The 19,561-nt window shown below is 37.5% G+C and overlaps 1 protein-coding gene across 56 annotated transcripts in view; it reads left to right on the top strand.

Annotated features, from left to right (window-relative positions):
- Positions 1–19,561, top strand: part of MCTP1 (multiple C2 and transmembrane domain containing 1) — a 581,405-nt gene that overhangs the window by 324,963 nt on the left and 236,881 nt on the right. For all 56 annotated transcript variants that reach the window (XM_047417718.1, NM_001393537.1, XM_047417715.1 and 53 more), the window contains 2 exons: positions 6,771–6,913; positions 17,705–17,784. In XM_047417718.1, the coding sequence (XP_047273674.1) occupies positions 6,771–6,913; positions 17,705–17,784 (223 nt within the window). The remainder of the gene's footprint in view (positions 1–6,770; positions 6,914–17,704; positions 17,785–19,561) is intronic.

Below are 19,561 nucleotides of genomic sequence, written 5' to 3'. Positions count from 1 at the left end.
GATGGTTGTAGATGTGTGGTGTTATTTCTGAGGCCTCTGTTCTGTTCCATTGGTCTATATGTCTGTTTTGGTATCAGTACCATGCTGTTTTGGTTACTGTAGCCTTGTAGTGTAGCTTGAAGTCAGGTAGCATGATGCATCCAGCTTTGTTATTTTTGCTTAGGATTGTCTTGGCTACACAGGCTCTTTTTTGGTTCCATATAAAATTTAAAGTAGTTTTTTCTAATTCTCTGAAGAAAGTCAATGGTAACTTGGTGGGAATAGCATTGAATCTATAAATTACTTTGGGCAGTATGGCCATTTTCACGATATTGATTCTTCCTATTCATGAGCATGGAATGTTTTTCCATTTGTTTGTGACCTCTCTTATTTCCTTGAGCAGTGGTTTGTAGTTCTCTTTGAAGACACCCTTCACATCTCTTTTAAATTGTATTCCTAGGTATTGTATTCTCTTTGTAGCAATTGTTAATGGGAGTTCACTCATGATTTGGCTCTCTGTTTGTCTGTTACTGGTGTATAGGAATGCTTGTGATTTTTGCACATTGACTTTGTATCCTGAGACTTTGCTGAAGTTGCATATCAGCTTAAGGAGTTTTGGGCTGAGACAACGGGGTTTTCTAAATATGCAATCATCTCATCTGCAAACAGAGATAATTTGACTTCCTCTTTTCCTATTTGAATACCTTTATTTCTCTCTCTTGCCTAATTGCCCTGGCCGGAACTTTCAATACTATATTGAATAGGAGTGGTGAGAGAGGGCATCCTTGTCTTGTGCTTGTTTTCAAATAAAATGCTTCCAACTTTTGCCCATTCAGTATGATATTGGCTGTGGGTTTCTCATAAATATCTCTTATTATTTTGAGATACATTCCATCAATACCTGGTTTATTGAGTGTTTTTAGCATGAAAGGGTGTTGGATTTTATTGAAGGCCTTTTCTGCATCTATTGAGATAATCATGTAGTTTTTTTCAATGGTTCTGTTTATGTGATGGATTACATTTATTGATTTGCATATGTTGAACCAGCCTTGCATCCCAGGGATGAAGCCGACTTGATTGTGGTGGATAAGCTTTTTAATGTGCTGCTGGATTCGGTTTGCCAGTATTTTATTGAGGATTTTCACATCAATGTTCATCAGGGAGATTGGCCTGACATTTCCTTTTTTTGTTGTGTCTCTGCCAGGTTTTGGTATCAGGATGATGCTGGCCTCATAAAATGAATTGGGGAGGAATCCCTCTTTTCCTATTGTTTGGAATAGTTTTAGAAGGAATGGTTACCAGCTCCTCTTTGTACCTCTGGTAGAATTCAGCTGTGAATCCATCTGGTCATGGGTTTTTTTGGTTGGTAGGCTACTAATTACTGCCTCAATTTCAGAACTTGTTATTGGTCTATTCAGGGATTCAACTTCCTCCTGGTTTAGTCTTGGGAGGGTGTATGTGTCCAGGAATTTATCCATTTCTTCTAGATTTTCTAGTTTATTTGTGTAGAGGTGTTTATAGTATTCTCTGATGGTAGTTTCTATTTCTGTGGGATATCAGTGGTGATACTGCCTTTATCATTTTTTATTGCGTCTATTTGATTCTTCTCTCTTTTCTTCTTTATTATCCTGGCTAGCAGTCTATCTGTTTTGTTAATCTTTTCAAAAACCAGGTCCTGGATTCATTGATTTTTTTAAGGGTTTTTCATGTCTCTATCTCCTTCAGTTCTGCTCTGATCTTAGTTATTTCTTGTCTTCTGCTAGCTTTTGAATTTGTTTGCTCTTGCTTCTCTAGTTCTCTTAATTGTGATGTTAGGGCGTCAATTTTAGATTTTTCCTGCTTTCTCTTGTGGGCATTTAGTACTATAAATTTCCCTCTACACACTGCTTTAGCTGTGTCCCAAAGGTTCTGGTATGTTGTGTCTTTGTTCTCATTGGTTTCAAAGAACTTATTTATTTCTGCCCTAATTTTGTTATTTACTCATTTGTCATTCAGGAGCAGGTTGTTCAGTTTTCATGTAGTTGTGCAGTTTTGAGTGAGTTTCTTAATCCTGAGTTCTAATTTGATTGCACTGTGGTCTGAGAGACTGTTTGTTATAATTTCTGTTCTTTTGCATTAGCTGAGCAGTTTTACTTCCAATTATGTGGTCGATTTTAGAATAAGTGTAATGTGGTGCTGAGAAGAATGTATATTCTATTGATCTGGGGTGGAGAATTCTGTAGATGTCTATTAGGTCCACTTAGTCCAGAGCTGAGTTCAAGTCCTGAATATCCTTGTTAATTTTCTGTCTTGTTGATCTGTCTAATATAGACAGTGGGGTGTTAAAGTCTCCCACTATTATTGTGTGGGAGTCTAAGTCTCTTTGTAGGTCTCTAAGAACTTACTTTATGAATCTGGGTGCTCTTGTATTGGGTGCATATATATTGAGGATAGTTAGCTCTTCTTGTTGCATTGATCCCTTTGCCATTAGGTAATTCCCTTCTTTCTCTTTTTTTTTAATCTTCATTGGTGTAAAATCTGTTTTATCAGGGGCTAGGATTGCAACCCCTGCTTTTTCTTTTTTTTCTTTCCATTTTCTTGGTAAATCTTCCTCCATCCCTTTGTTTTGAGCCTGTGCATGTCTTTGCACGTGAGATGGGTCTCCTGAATACACCATTGGGTCTTGACTCTTTATCCAATTTACTAGTCTGTGCCTTTTAATTGGGGCATTTAGCCCATTTACATTTAAGGTAAATATTATTATGTGTGAATTTGATCCTGTCATTTTGATGCTAGCTGGTTATTTCGCCCATTAGTTGATGCAGTTTCTTCATATTGTCAATGGTCTTTACATCTCGGTTTGTTTTTGTGGAGGCTGGTACCAGTTTTTCCTTTCCATATTTAGCACTTCTTTCAGGAGCTCTTGTAAGGCAGGCTTGGTGGTGACAAAATCTCTCAGCATTTGCTTGTCTGTAAAGGATTTTATTTCTCCTTCACTTATGAAGCTTAATTTGGCTGGATATGAAATTCTGAGTTGGAAATTCCTTTCTTTAAGAATGTTGAATATTGGCCCCCAGTCTCTTCTGGCTTGTAGAATTTCTGCAGAGAGATCTGCTGTTAGTCTGATGGGCTTCCCTTTGTGGGTAGCCAGACCTTTCTCTCTGGCTGCCCTTAACATTTCATCTTTCATTTCAACCTTGGTGAATCTGACGATTATGTGTCTTGGGATGGCTCTTCTTGAGGAGTATCTTTGTGGTGTTTTCTGTATTTCCTGAATTTGAATGTTGGCCTGTCTTGCTAGGTTGGGGAAGTTCTCCTGGATATCCTGAAGTGTATTTTTCAACTTGGTTCCATTCTCCCCTTCACTTTCAGGTACACCAATCAAACGTAGGTTTGGTCTCTTTACAGAGTCCCATATTTCTTGGAGGCTTTGTTCATTCCTTTTCATTCTTTTTTTTTGTAATCTTGTCTTTACACTTTATTTCATTAAGTTGATCTTCAATCTCTGATATCCTTTCTTCCACTTGATCAGTTTGGCTATTGATATTTGTGTATGCTTCACGAAGTTCTCATGCTGTGTTTTTCAGCTCCATCAGGTCATTTATGTTCTTCTCTGAACTGGTTATTCTATTTAGTAGTTCCTCTAACCTTTTATAAAGGCTTTTAGCCTCCTTGCATTGGGTTACCACATGCTCCTTTAGCTCTGAGAAGTTTGTTATTATCTACCTTCTGAAGCCTACTTCTGTCAATTCATCAAACTCATTCACCATCCAGTTTTGTTCCCTTGCTGGCAAGGAGTTGTGATCCTTTGGAGGAGAAGAGGCATTCTGGTTTTTGGAATTTTCAGCCTTTTTGCGCTGTTTTTTTCCTCATCTTTGTGGATTCATCTACCTTTGGTCTTTGCTGTTGGTGACCTTTGGATGGAGTTTTCCACGGTCATCCTTTTTGTTGATGTTGATGGCTATTCCTTTCTGTTTGTTAGTTTTCTTCTAACAGTCAGGTCCCTCTTCTGCAGTTCAACTGGAATTTGCTGGGGTCAACTCCAGACTGTTTGCCTGGGTATCACCAGCAGAGGCTGCAGAACAGCAAAGATTGCTGCCTGCTCCTTCCTCTGGAAGCTTCATCCCAGAGGGGCACCCACCAGATACCAGCCAGAACTCTCCTGTGTGAGGTGTCTGTCGACCCCTGCTGGGAGGTGTCTCCCTGTCAGGAAGCATGGGAGTCAGGGACCCACTTGAGGAGGCATACTGTCCCTTAGCAGAGCTTAAGGTCTGTGCTGGGAGATCTGCTGCTCTCTTCAGAGCTGGCAGGCAGGAACTTTTAAGTCTGCTGATGCTGTACCCACAGCTACCCCTTCCCCCAGGTGCTCTGTCCCAGGGAGAAGGGAGTTTTATCTATAAACTCCTGATTGTGGCTGCTGCCTTTCTTCCAGAGATGCTCTGCCCAGAGAGGAGGAATGTAGAGAGGCAGTCTGGCTACAGTGGCTTTGCTGAGCTGCAGTAGGCTCTGCCCTGTCTGAACTTTCTGCAGCTTTGTTTATACTGTGAGGGGAAAACTGCCTACTCAAGCCTCAGTAATGGCAGACGCCCCTCTCCCTACCAAGCTCAAGCCTCCCAGGTCGACTTCAGACTGCTATGCTAGCAATGAGAATTTCAAGCCAGTGGATCTTAGCTTTCTGGGCTCCATGGGGGTAGGATCCACTGAGCAAGACCACTCGGCAACCTGGCTTTAGCCCCCTTACCAGGGGAGTGAACAGTTCTGTTTCACTGGCATTCCAGGTACCACTGGGGTACGAAAAAAGACTCCTACAGCTAGCTCAGTGTCTGCCCAAATGACTGCCCAGTTTTGTGCTTGAAACCAGAGGCCTTGTGACATAGGCACCCAAGGGAATTTCCTGGTCTGTGGGTTGTGAAGACCATGGGAAAAGCATAGTATCTGGGCCAGAGAGCACTGTCCCTCACGGCATGGTCCCTCACAGCTTTCCTTGGGTAGGGGAAGGAGTTCCCCGAACCCTTGCACTTCCTGGGTGAGGCAGTGATGCCCCACCCTGCTTCTGCTCACCCTCTGTGGGCTGCACCCACTGTCCAACCAGTCCCACTGAGATGTACCAGGTACCTCAGTTGGAAATGCAGAAATCACCCGCCTTCTGCATTGGTCTCACTGGAAGCTGCAGACTGGAGCTGTTCCTATTTGGCCATCTTGCCTGGGAATCAACTTTGATTTTCTTTATCATCATAGGGAGTTTAGGAGGTGTCAAGGGATAATACAAAGAATCCAATTCACTTATTAAACATGTGTTCCCCTTTCTCCTGATGTCTTTCTCTGAGACCTCCACCCCTTCCTAACATTCTAAAATTGAAACTTCTGAGCAAGAAAAAATATGGGACCAAGGATGAAATGAAGCCCACTTTAACACGCATCTTTTCCTAAGCCCATTAGACTAGTATAAAATTTTAGCAGCGTATATATGCTGTTAAAACTATTTAAATCAGTGAAGATTATTCAACATCTTTTTATAGTTGACCAGATGATATCAAGAGGAAGATCAGATTAATCTCTATGATTTATAACTTTAATTAAATTTACACATTCAACATGCAATAGAGTGTGGTTTTAAAAAATAGATTTAGGGATACAAGTGCAGTTGTGTTACATGGATGTATTGCATAGTGGTAAAGTCTGGGCTTTTAGAATACCCATCACCCAAGTCGTATACATTGTACCAAATAGATGGTATTTCATTCTTCACCCCTCTCCCATCCTCCTACCTTTTGGAATCTCCAGTGTCTATTTTTCCATTCTTTGTCTTCATGTGTACCAATTGTTTAGCTCCCACTTGTAAAAGAGAACATGTAGTTTTTTACTTACTTTCTCTGAGTCATTTCACTTAGAGTAATGGCCTCCTGTTCCATCCATGTTGCTGCTAAAGACATGATCTGTTTCTTATGGCTGAGTAGTATTCCATGGCATATATATATATATATATATATGCATATATATATATGTATATATATGCATATATATATGTATATATATGCATATATATATTTGTATATATATTCATATATATGTATATATATGCACATATATATTTGTATATATATGCATATATATTTGTATATATATGCATATATATATTTGTATATATATGCATATATATTTGTATATATATGCATATATATATTTGTATATATATGCATATATATATTTGTATATATATGCATATATATTTGTATATATATGCATATATTATATTTGTATATATATGCATATATATATTTGTATATATATGCATATATATTTGTATATATATGCATATATATAGTTGTGTATATATATATATGTATATATATATTTGTATATATATATGTATATATATGCCATGGAATATATATATCATGGCATTTGATATATATATATATCACATTTTAGCCCAATAGTCTGTTGATTCCATGTCTTTGCTATTGTGAAAAGTGCTGTGATAAACATTTGAGTCAGGTATCTTTTTGATAAAATGATTTCTTTTCCTTTGGGTAGATGTCCACTAGCGGGATTGCTGGAATAGACTGTTTTTAACTGCCAGGACAAGGTTACACGATTAAGATCAGAAGATGAAGTAATAATAATTATTATTATTTATCACTTCAATATATAATAAAAAATTCATAAGAAAACACTTAACTCTTATTTCTGCATAGATAATTTTCATTTAACTTTTCTTCCTTTAAATACTTTTTGTTGTTTCAAAAGAGTGGTTCTCTTGCTTCCAAACCAAGTCATGATTAACATGGATCAATCTATCTATTTAACAGGGACGAGTGATCCATATGTGAAGTTTAAAATCGGAGGAAAAGAAGTTTTTAGAAGTAAGATAATACACAAGAACCTCAACCCTGTGTGGGAAGAAAAAGCTTGTATTCTGGTTGATCATCTTAGGGAGCCATTGTATATAAAGGTGAGCCATTTATTTGTTTTTTCCTGATAGAAACTGATGTGGAAATCCCTGTTTACTGGGTTTTATCATGTTTCTTTGTCTGATGAGAGTTTTCACCAGAGATGTGTTCTGCTCTTCGCCACTCTAATCTATGGATAATATGATAGAAGTGAGATAGAGGGAAGGAGGAGCTAGCAGGGGCATTCTTCTCCAGGACAGTTCTCTTGCCAGTCATTTAGAAGGATTATGAAGTGTATCCCTTGTGCTTGGTATTGCCAACTGATTTAGTGCAGTTTGGGAGCATATGAAAACAAGTTTCCATATAAGTTAACAGAAAGGAGAACTTACACAGAACCCAGTCTTTCTGTTTAAAAATTGTATTAGTTAAGATCTGCCATTTCTGGCTGCAAGCAAAATGCTTTACTTGGAGCATGAGAAGGGTGAAGGTGATGGGGGAGAAAAATTCCTATCTCTATTAGATTACCAAAAATGGGGGGCTGGGGGTGGGGAGTCTTTCCTCTCGTTTGATGTAATTAAAAGAAAGAGAAGAACTTGAGGAGTTACAACCTAGTTCCTATTCTGAGCCCTATTCCTTGTTTTATTTTCATGCCCAGCTTTTCTTTAATTTACATCTCTAGGTACTTATATTCTTTTTTGCTCCTAGGCTCTGACTGTTCATTCAGTGACCAGACCTTTTTCTACTTTTACCACAACAGCACACATCCCACCCTTTTCCCTAAGTTGTTACTACTGGCACATGAGCCAGAAATCTCATCTTTCAGCAATCACTAGGCATACTTCTTCCCCTCATATCATCATTGTATTACCTCTAGTTGTTTCTTTCCTCCACAGAAAGGAACAAGAAATAATCAAGTTGTTACTGAAATTACAAGAGGGTAGCTTATAAGAAGGTTGAAAAGAGAATCTCATAAGTATACATAAGGATACAGTTAATTTTCTATAAGTCATTATGGGGCAAATAGACACACACTTGCATAATAAATTGTCTCCATTGGACACTGGCTAAAGAAAATCAATTCAATAGCTTTTTTTTTTTTTTTTTTTTTTGCGACAAAGTCTCATTCTGTCACCCAGGCTGGAGTGCAGTGGCACGATCTTGGCTCACTGCAACGTTCATCTCTTGGTTTCAAGCCATTCCCTTGCCTCAGCCTCCTCAGTAGCTGGGATTACAGGTACCCACCACCATGTCTAGTTATTTTTTGTATTTTTAGTAGAGATGGCATTTCACCATGCTGGCCAGGCTGGTCTTGAACTCCCGGCCTCAAGTGATCTGTGCTCCTCGGCCTCCCAAAGTGCTGGGATTATAGGCATGAGCCACCGTGCCCGGCCTTAAATAGCGTTTTTGAACTGTCTTTAACTACATAATATGGGATGGCACAATAACGTTAATATGAGAGTGTGCGTAGCCAACCCTTCTCCCACGAAAGGGAAGACCTTTGTGGTCAGAGATTTTTCTGCCCTGCTCCTCACTTCTAGAGAGAAAGAAATATCCACATGAGAAAAAAAGGAATTATCTTTGTAATAAAGAGCTGAGATAGGCAATGAAAAAGGAATAAAGAAAAGACAAGTGGGCTGTGAAGGAAGTATTATTTCTGGGGTGGGGAGGTGGGAGATCAGGAGACATGAGTTAGAGCAATGGCAGGTATGAAGAAAATGGTCAGGAAAGAAAGCAGGTATTAATAAGGACAGCAACAGGCTGTTTGGATCTCATTAATGTTGCTGAAGTGAAAAATCATGAGAAGAAAGAAGTTTATTTTTAATTACTTCTACTTAGTGGGATATTACTCCATGAAAGAACCATGTGACTGTCCTGTCTTTGAAAGGGTTACATATGAATTTCCTCAAATTATATTAGATATTGGTCAGGTGCTTTTCTTATTCTTTTGTGCTCAAGAATAAGTATTCATCTATGTAGAAATCCAAATGCCAAGATGCATTTTTCAAAAGGAATGTCTTACTAGGCTCAAAAAGAAATAAACAAAAAACTGAAGTACACAAAAAAAGAATGGTGGTGTTCTGACTTGTAAGTGGGAGCTACATAATGTGCACACATGGGCATAGACAGTGGAATGATAAACACTGGACAGTTGGAAGGATGAGGGGGTAGCAAGGGGCTAGATGATGAAAAATTCCTTAATGGGTGCAATGTATGTTATTCAGATGATGGATACCCTGAAAGTCCTGACTTGACTGCTATGCACAATCTACACATGTAACACAACTGTACTTGTACCCCATAAATTTACACAAAATCATTTTTTTTTTTTTTTTTGAGACAGAGTCTTGCTCTGTCGCCCAGGCTGGAGTGCAGTGGCACGATCTCGGCTCACTGCAAGCTCCGCCTCCTGAGTTCACGCCTTTCTCCTGCCTCTGAGTAGCTGGGACTGCAGGTGCCCACCACCTTGCCCAGCTAATTTTTTGTATTTTTTAGTAGAGAAGGAGTTTCACCTTGTTAGCTGGGATGGTCTCGATCTCCTGATCTCGTGATCTGCCCTCCTCGGCCTCCCAAAGTGCTGGGATTACAGGCACGAGCCACCGCGCCTGGCCAAAATTTTTTAAATTGTGGCAGAAATGGTCTTGACTTGAGAGCAAGAATATACATGTATGTATGTATATGTATAAATATACAGTATAGGTGTATATATGTATGTATCTATACATATACTCTATATATATAGTCTGCATATATACAGTACACATACATATACTATAAATGTACATAAACTGTAAATGAAGACAGCAACACTGTATGCAGGCCAGAAGGCTTGGTTAATCACACACTATGAGTAAAGAAACTAAGAAAGCAAGCCCAAAGGTTGTTGGGTTTTTTTTAAATCACTTTGAACTTTCAATATATAAGATTATGTAGCCTAGCCACAATTTAACTTCTACCATACAGAAGAGGATACACAGTTACTTTTAAATATTTTTATACTTTACTTACATTTTTACATTGTCACTTTTTACATTTCTATATGAGAAAGACAATTAAGTTAAATAGAAATCATACAAGTCTCTGAGATACTAGTACACATATAAAATGATGTCACTTTATTATATACAATACTTTATAATATTTTAAAAGTATTAAATATACTTTCTAAATGCTTTCCTATTTTTTTTCAGTTGATTTTCATTTTCTGTAAAATGCCTAGGGCTTTTTTTGAAAGAAAATCTCTAACTTTTTGCTTTATTTTTTCCATTATTTGTGTTCCATTTTTTGCCTCATCTTAGGGGAAGAATCAAATAAGGTACCTTGGTGGAAATAACATTTGAAGTTATTAGAATTTCATAAAAATTGCATCATTTTTATTGTCTCTATGCAGGCCTGTGTGTTTGAGTGACTCAGTTCTGATATGATGCCCACATCCTCCACAACAGATTATTAATCTTGCCCAAAAGATTTCTTAGGGACTAATCAATTCTGTAGTGACTGAGAGTATGAAAATGCATCTGTGAACTACATAGTTAGAACACATTAAGTATACGACCCTCCTATCTATAATTACAGGAAAAAGAAGTCCATCAGTACCCTGTAATCTGATTTCTATCAGTGTAAAAATTACCAAGGAAAAAAAATTCAGTTCTGAGCCAAAGTTATGAAAGTGCATTCAAGTTGAAGTGCTTGTACTATTTCTAGTAAAAACATTTTATTTTTTAAAAAAATCTTGGAACTGTCATTAAAAAAAACTACACAAAATAAAAATATTCTTTGCAATTGGTTGGAATTTATGTAACTTTTAATTTTAATGAAAAGAGCATTTTCTGTGCAGGTGAGAACAAGGCTTGGAGAATTAGCTATAAAATCTATATATAATGTAAGAATAGAAACTGGGAGTTAAAATGCAGTGCTTTTAGTTGAGACAGGAGCCACTTTAGTCTGCCCTGTATTCAGAGTGATGCTCCAGCACACACCTTAGATAATAGGATAAATTTGACACCCATTTCAGTTGAATTCAAATTCTCCATTGTTATTTCACTGACACTATTATCCCAGGTTCACAGTGAATGCCAGAATTACAGTAGAAGAGATAAAAGTAACATAAAGGGGAATATATTTATATAAATTGTTATTTGTTTGGCCTAATCATGAATTGGAGATTGGAGTATTAATTGGGAGCACTATTCTGAAAAATAGAACCATTTTGATAGATTAGAAAAATAATTGTATGGGACCACATGACTGTTTCTAAGATGGTCATTTTAAAAAATTGGACATTTCCTTAAATAATTCATTTCTATCCAAGCTTAAGAGTTAAAGTTGAAAATGTTACTTTAAGCTCTGTTTAAGTTAAGGACCATATTACTGTCCTGTCCAAAATTATTTCTCGGTAGCTTATAAGGACACTTAAAAAATGTCACATATCAATGATTCTCATCCCTGGTTGTACACGAGAGTTATTCATAAAGGTTTAAAGAATCTAGAGGTCCAAGTTTCACTTGACCTGAATCAGACCTGAATCAGAGAAGACTCTGATTCAGGACCTCTGAAGTAGAGTCCAAGCTTCTGTATTTTTAAAACACCTCAATAGGTTATTCTGGGGCACAAGTAGGGAGCCACTTTTCTGGACATTTAAATGGAAACAAATGAGTAGTTGGAATGGGAATAACGTTTCCAGCCATAAACCATAGAGCACCCAAACCAAGGTATTCATAGTAAGATGTTTGTATTATCTCAGATGTTTTGTTTCACATGATTCAAAAACACTTCCTAAATGCATGAATCAAGAATTTCCACTATTTTGGACCCAAAAAAAATCAGCAATGAAACAAAACAAACAAAAAAGCATGACTATACTTGCTTTTGGATTGTGGGCAAAGAATATGGGAAGTTATTGAGTCTCGGGAAAATGAAATCCGCAATCACATCTTCATCATAGTAATGGTTACTACCATGGACTGAGAAGAGTGCTAAATGCCAGACCAATATCATCTCATGTAACCCTAACCCTACAAATAACTGTTTTCGTCTCTTTTGTATGGGTACATGAGACTCAGAGATTAAGGGTTAGTTTATGTCCACCTAGCAGTTAAGTAAGATAGCTTCTGGTTTCCACTAAAGATGGCTAATTGCTAAGGTCATAGTTAGGTTTTGTTTTTGTTTGTTTGTTTTACAATGTCACTTCTATGACTTTTTGGCTTTAACTATTCTTTTACAATGTGATGGTTATTCTGAAACTGCCTTAGTATAAAAATGAGTCTTGGACACTGTTGCTAAGTAGGATCTTATATCTTAGATCACATTATATGATCTCATGAGATGGGTTAGGCCTTTAAAGAAGCTCTAATATGGTTTCAAATATTATTAGTGGCTCATGCCTATAATCCCAGCACTTTGGGGCGCTGAGGTGAGAGGATCGCTTGAACTCAGGAGGTTCAAGACCAGCCCAAGCAACCTAGGGAGACCCTGTCTCTACAAAAAAAAAAAAAAATTTTAAAGCCAGACATGGTGGCATGCACCTGTGGTCCCAGCTCTAGGGAGGTTGAGCCTGGAGGATCCCTTAAACCCAGTAGTTTAAGGTGTAGTGCAAACCTTGATCATGTCACTGCACTCCAGCCTGGGTGACAGAGTGAGACCCTGGACCCTGTCTCTCTTTCTCTCTCTCTCTCTCTCTCTCTCTCTCTCTCTCTCTCTCTCTCTATATATATATATATATATATATTTAGTAAACTAACACTAAAATATTTTTAGATTATTTTGAAATTGGATATACTATCATATATTCTGTGGGAAATAGAAAAATGAGATATTATAAGTATATTATTACTAATTCAATCATAGAAATTACCATGTAAGGAATGCAATAGAAAATTCTAAGGAGCGATGTCATATTACTGAATGAGTGCCAATTAGATACTCCCTGTCATAATTCAGAGCATAATTAGGCACGGACAGTGAACTGCAATAGGAAAGGGTAGACATGGAAGGGCCAAATTATCCGTACATCCATTGTCCATTTCCCCAATACTGGGGCTGGGAAAAATCCTATGGGGATATTAACCATATTGCTTGGTGTCAAGGTAGAACCCAAGGACTGGGCAAGATCAGAGTACGGTATCACAGGGAGGAGATAGAGCTATTTTCAGTTTGTAGACAGAGACCAGGCAAGCAAAATGCCTAGGCAACAAAAGCAGATTCCAGAGATGCTGGAAATAGGGGAATAGATCAGAAATAAAGTTCAAAACAAAGTGAAGACAGAGGTTGAAGAAATAAACGAGGCTGTTCCATCTAGCCCAGGTACAAGTTTCCTAGGATACAGACATACTACTCAGCCAGACAACTACATAATAGAGGCAAGAAGAAAACAATATTCAGAGTGAATAACATAAGAAAGAGATGTTTCTCCATGCAATCAGTAAGCACTGGGGGAGAAGGATGCCGAACATGGATTTAAGGGAATGTCCACGTGGGTGGTCAAAGCAAGACCTGAGTGAGATCCCAAAACTAACACATAGGCCAGCATCAGGGATGTCAGTTTGTAAGGTGCAGAACCTTTGGCAAGGGTAACTTGATGCTGAGACAAAGCCTTGAATTAGAAATCCTGAAAGTCTCCCTGATTCATATCAGGAGTTTTCCTAAAGCCAAGACCAGGACTGAGCTACAGGTGGGTGTCAACTAGCTTTAGCTCTAGAGGGGCAAGTATCATGGCACCTGGAGCCATCATAAGAACCCTAGTTTGGATTCTCTGTTAGGGATATTAGTTGAGGATTTTCCAAATGTGTATCTCTTTTTACCTTTTCTATGGGCTCCCAATTTTTCTCTTTGAAGATCCATATGGTTCCATGGACACTGACTTCACCATTGCCTTTAAAAATAAAGGCAACCTATGCTAGCCATTAAGCCACTTCCATATCTTTGGCCAATAAATAGGCATGTGATATGAGCTGGCCCATCTGGAACGGATTCAGTACTTTGCTGGGAATGCTGGGACAAAGCAGCTCACGCTTCCCCACTAGACTTGAGTAAAGAAGCATGCCACTCTGGATGTCCTGGCAGGCCATTAGCATCCTGGGGCAGCTATTGAGGCAGTAATGATGAGGAAGCTCTGATAGAGAACTGGAGAGGCAGAAATGGGATTAGGCTGTATCATTTACCTTTGATACAGTTAACTACTTCCTCCATCTTAACATTCTTTCTTCAGTTTGTTTTCAGGATACCACTCTCCTGGTTTTCCTGCTCCCTCAGTAGCTGTTCCTTCTCAGTCTCCTCTCTGGATCCTTCTCCCAGACTTTAAAATATGATGGTAGGCCCCACGGCCTAAGCCTGAACTAATGTTCCAGCACTCTTCTCTTGCTTACTACTTTCAGCCTCACTGGCCCCTGGCCAGTTTCCTCAGTGCCTCTCCACTTCCTCTTCCCCCCTTGCAGAAGACACTTTCCTCATCATGGATTGCACTTTCCTATTCCCTCATTATGAAACACACTTTTCCCATCATGGGGAAACACCTCCCACTCTCGTTGTCCTTTCTGAACATCATGTATAAATAGTAGTTCCCATCACTCCAGTACTCTGAAATATTCTTCTCCTTAACATTTATCACTGCTACTTGGCATATGTATTTCTTTATTGTCTGTCTCTCCCCACCCCATATGTAAGCTCCAAGAAATCAAAGACTTTGACTGTTTTGATCACTGCTGTATTTCAAATGCCTAGAACAGTACTTGGAACATTGTGGGTGCTCACCAAATATTTTTCAAATAAATGAATTAATAAGTGCATGAATAATTTGAACCGCCAAATTAAAACTTCCCAGAAGCCATAATTACCTATAGACATTTCTGCAGTCATTTGAGCTAGAAATTGAAGCCAGTTGAGTTGAATTTTGTGTTAAAAACAAAAACAAAAGCATTTTAACTGATACACTTCCCAATGGATTTTTAGTAAACAGTAAGGTGAATTTGTTGTTTTAAATTAAATATTTCTTGTTCTAAAGTCACTTGAGAATGCAGAAGGTGTTACCAAGTCCCAAGCAACTTCTACCTGTTACCTAATGTTTCCAACTAGTGGTGGGAAGGACCCATGAAAGCAAGGATCTCATCTAAATCATTCATGTTTTAACTCTCAGTGCTTCTCTTAGAGTGGGTGCCTAAGACATATTTGTGAAATTTAAACACACTCTGTTTATGACACTCAATACAACAAGATTTGAATCTCGTGTCTTCCTAGCCCTAGGATTTGGGGGGAAAATAACATGTGTTTTTTTCAGCTTTGGATTCATTATCTGAAAAATAGAAACAACAATACCTTGTTAACCAGGTTGTGCCTAGTAAATATTGAATAAACATTAATAAGCATGAACTGTGCTTGTTGTTAGTGCAGTGGGAGTACCTTTTCCTATTTTATCTCTCTCCTATGCTCTGTATTTCTAAAGCTCACTTAGAGCAATGCTCCCTCTGACAAATAGTGTGTAGAGCTTGGAACCAAACAGCATAGCTAATAATTTCATTAATGCATGGATTCTAGTGTTTCCTTTTCTTCCCATGTTTATGCCTTTGCAGATTAATAGGAATTGAGAGTTAAAGTAGACATCTAGCATTAGGATAATAGGAAAGACTCTCACTAGGAGAGTGAAAAGAGGTTGGATGTTGAATCGCCCAGTTGGGCTGTCTGCACTAATAAATTCACTGGATTCACAGCTCTCAACCTCATGTGTGTGGGTGAACCTCAGGTGATCTCACTGATTATATGCCACCTATTTTCTCCCCCAAGATTTTAAGCCTAAGGATGATATGATTAGATGAGATTCCACAAGAGAAATTTCTCCAATGTTTTGGTGTAAATTGTATATTGTGAAATACACTGCTGCAGCCACTTGCAAATACAGAGATGTCAGTTGCATAAGATGTGCAGTACATGCATATGCTATACCACTGAGCAGATGACTAAAGCTCAGAAGTGTAATTGATCAAGGAGAATATTTATTGCAGGAGTGCTGAGCTTTCTACAATAAGTGCATTCTTGAAAGGTTGTATGTAAATCAAATGACTGCAAATTGAATAATTTAAAAGGCATTAAGGGAGCTTATTACTTAAATAAATCCCCATGTGACTCTTCAAATCTAAGAATCCTTTTGTAATGCAAAGTATTTATCTTTTTATTTAAGTATCAATTTTTTACATATTAAATTTTCTTAAATTGAAGTACACCTGTAATAGAGAAAAAAATAAAAAGAAAAAAAAAGAGCAACTGATTCAGGAATGCTCTGCTTTGAGCTTTCTAACTGTTGTGCCAAGAATTGAGCATAGGAGTGCTGGGCTGTTGATTCAGCTTCATGGATTCTCACATCCTGGAGCAACCAAAGGCCCAGGTCATCCATTCAAGAGCAGATTTATCTGGTTATGCTCAATTACTCCAGTGTTCAATACAAATGTTTTCTACCTGAAAAGGTCAGGAAGTGACAGCTCTAAATTTCATCTGGTAGCGTTTTTTTTTTCCATCGTAAACGGTTTCCCTGATCTTCCTTACTTACTTCCTTACTTTCTCTTCGTTCTCTCTTCTTTTCCTTAAAACACTTATCAGAATTTGTAACCACATATCATCTATGTGCTTCCTTGTTTAACGTCTGTCTCCCTCACTAAACTGTAAGCGTTGAGAATGGCATTTTTGCTTACCACTGTTTACTCAGTTCCTAGCATATTGCCTGGCACATAATAAGTACTTAGCCAATATTGGCTGAGGGAATGAATGAGTGACAAAATTAATAGATGGATGGAAGTTAGCCAGTTCCCATTTACTTAGCATCCTTTGGAAGTGGTCCTAACTGATCTAGCTCTGAACTATCCCTCCAGCATCCTTCCATTATCTGTCTCTCTCCATTTGCTTCAACCCCACTGGTTTCTTGCTGATCACAACTGATGTGTGAAACACATCAGTCCCTCTCCTGGGCTTGCCGTTTCCTTCAGCTGGAGGGCTCTTGCTCTTGCTAGCATGCGTACTCCTTCCCATTATTTGGGTGTCTACACAAATATCCTTCCTCAGAGAGGAGTTCCTGGTCTCCTCATCTAAAATAGCAGCTCCCCACACACCTCTTAGACATTTATTTGCTCCATAGCACTTATAACTGAACTGTATTTAGGTATTTATAGGCCATCCCAGACCCTCCATGTACAATCCAAGAGGTCAGAGACATTGTCTTACTTACCATAGAGTGAATAAGAACCACACAAAACACAGAGAAGATACTGGATAGAGTATTGATAAAAGGAAGAAACGCATTATCTCTTTCTTTTCTTTTCATTTTAGTTTTTATGTTGTTAGGTATATTAGTATTATCCCCCAGTAATTGTTTGTGACAATAAAACTTTATTTTAACTTAACCTTAGTATAACTTTATAAAGTAGGTTAATCATAGTATCTTTTTACTTATTTGTATGTTTAAAGTGGCATTGTCCTATATCACAAAATGTATCTTTAATGGCCTAAAAAATACGAAGATATTGGAATCATATTCTCATCAATCATAGCCCAATATGAAAGACATACTTGTTGAATTCTATGCTTTTTCCCACATTTTTGAAGATTTACTATATTTTATTTGATTATGTTACATCTATCTTAAAGTTCTGTTTGATATAATCCATCAGTAATATTAAGTAAAAAATAAAATGTAGTTTTCTTTAAGTGTTTCGTGAGACTCTAATATTCCAAAGTACAAAAACAATTATTTTAAAATACAAATATTAGTATGCTTTTGGTGACATAGACAACCAACATTTTATGACCAAGACATTATCACATAAAGCTTATATTGGAGATATTTATAACAAGGCTTTTTCTCTTTGGCATCTCAGGTATTTGACTATGATTTTGGACTACAGGATGACTTTATGGGCTCAGCCTTTCTGGATCTGACACAATTGGAGTTAAACAGGTAACTTTTGAACTGCTGTAATATCACCACCCCTTGTCATGCAGTGGGCTTGTGTAACAGAAAATGTCAGCTGATCTGGGGTCTAGTTCTGTCATTTATAGTGGTGAGCCTTCCTGCTAGTCAGCCTTTCTCAAATCCATCTTCCTCACTTACCCAGTGGAAATAATAGCATCTTCCCTGACTACCTCATTCAACAACTTTTCAACCGAAAACTTCTTGGATACCTACTTGCTCTGTTCCCCAGTACTGTGCTAAGCACCAGGAATCGAGAGATAAAAGAGACATTCCTTCCTTTCATATTGCCCATATGGTTTTAATGGGGCATAAAAAAAGATTATGCACGTTAGTCATAATTATTAAGAATTGGACTACTATATATAAAATGCAGTGTGTACACTTTGCTTCAGAAACAGCAACTCTCTTGTCACTCGAGCCATGGTAGAATCTGATTTTGCCATTGCCGGATTACCAAGGAATGCTCCTAAGGTGGAGGCAGGTTGGTTGTATTTGCTCAGTTACACTACTTATCATTGCTTCCCTAGTTGCAAAGTTACTATTGTTACTAATATTAATCATTCCTTACACCTAATAATGGGCTTATATTTTTCAAAGTGAATTTCAACATAGGAACTAAGAATTGATTTGTATTATAGAATAAAAAAATACCATTAGAAAAGATCATGCATGCTGAAATAGGTTGCAAAGGGAACTGTGAAACCTTCTTTGATGGTTTTAAGGAGAAGGAATTCCTGGCTGTTTTGGATGATCATGTTACATCATGCCCCAGGGATGATGGAAAACAGGAAAGCAGAGTAATGAGCCAGATCACTACTTTCTATTTCTGTAAATGTAGATGACTAGAGAAATATAAAGTGTAGAACTCACTTATGCATTACAATCAACTTAGTTTGAGCACAATGGCTTATTGGTCTTCCAATAGTCATTGTTGCCTCAGACTGGACAAAAGAGCAGCCTTTCCTGTACTTTTTCTGTAAGTCCTTCATTCCAGCCTATAACCTAGCACAGGCTCACACCTCCCTGCCGCTGTAGGAAGTGCCCTAAGTGGTGTTGCATGGAGTCTATTATCATGAAAACTGAGCTCAATCTGGAATAGACTGTACTGTTCTTCTGTAAACCTCACAGGTACTTTCTCTTAGACCTCTGCATAAGGATATCAAGTGACTAGACTTAATCCCAAAGCATAAATTTATCTTGTTTCCTATGAAAGATAAATCATCGGTGAAAAATAATTTTAAATGGTGACAATTTGGAATAATTTCAAAAATTAAAAGAGATTATTTATACATGAGCATTTGGTGTGTATTTTGCTACATAACATATTTTATGTATTTTACTAGCAATTCCCTCTCCTCAAAACCACATAAACATCTAATTACTACTTTTTAAAATAACCTATTTGTGTATGCTGTTTTATTCTAAATATAAATCAATAGTCTCTGGGTATAGAAAAAGTGATAACAATTGTAGCCATATAAATATTTATGTTATTATACTATGTAATACATTGAGGTACCTCTGAAAGAATAATACATCATAAGGCAGTTGTAAATGTTCTTATGTTTTTATCATGTAATCATTAAAAAATGTAATGAAGTTTTTTCTATTAATTTTTGTATGTAATCATTACATGAAAATGAACTAAGTCAGACTGTAACCCCATATGTGTATTTAGTGTATATGTGTGTGTATGTATATGTGTATATATATACACATATATATGTATATGTGTATATATATATACATATATATGTATATA

The sequence above is a fragment of the Homo sapiens genome, chromosome 5, assembly GCF_000001405.40.
Source record: "Homo sapiens chromosome 5, GRCh38.p14 Primary Assembly".
In the NCBI taxonomy this organism is placed as follows: domain Eukaryota; kingdom Metazoa; phylum Chordata; class Mammalia; order Primates; family Hominidae; genus Homo; species Homo sapiens.
This window is presented reverse-complemented; position numbering and strand designations above follow the sequence as displayed.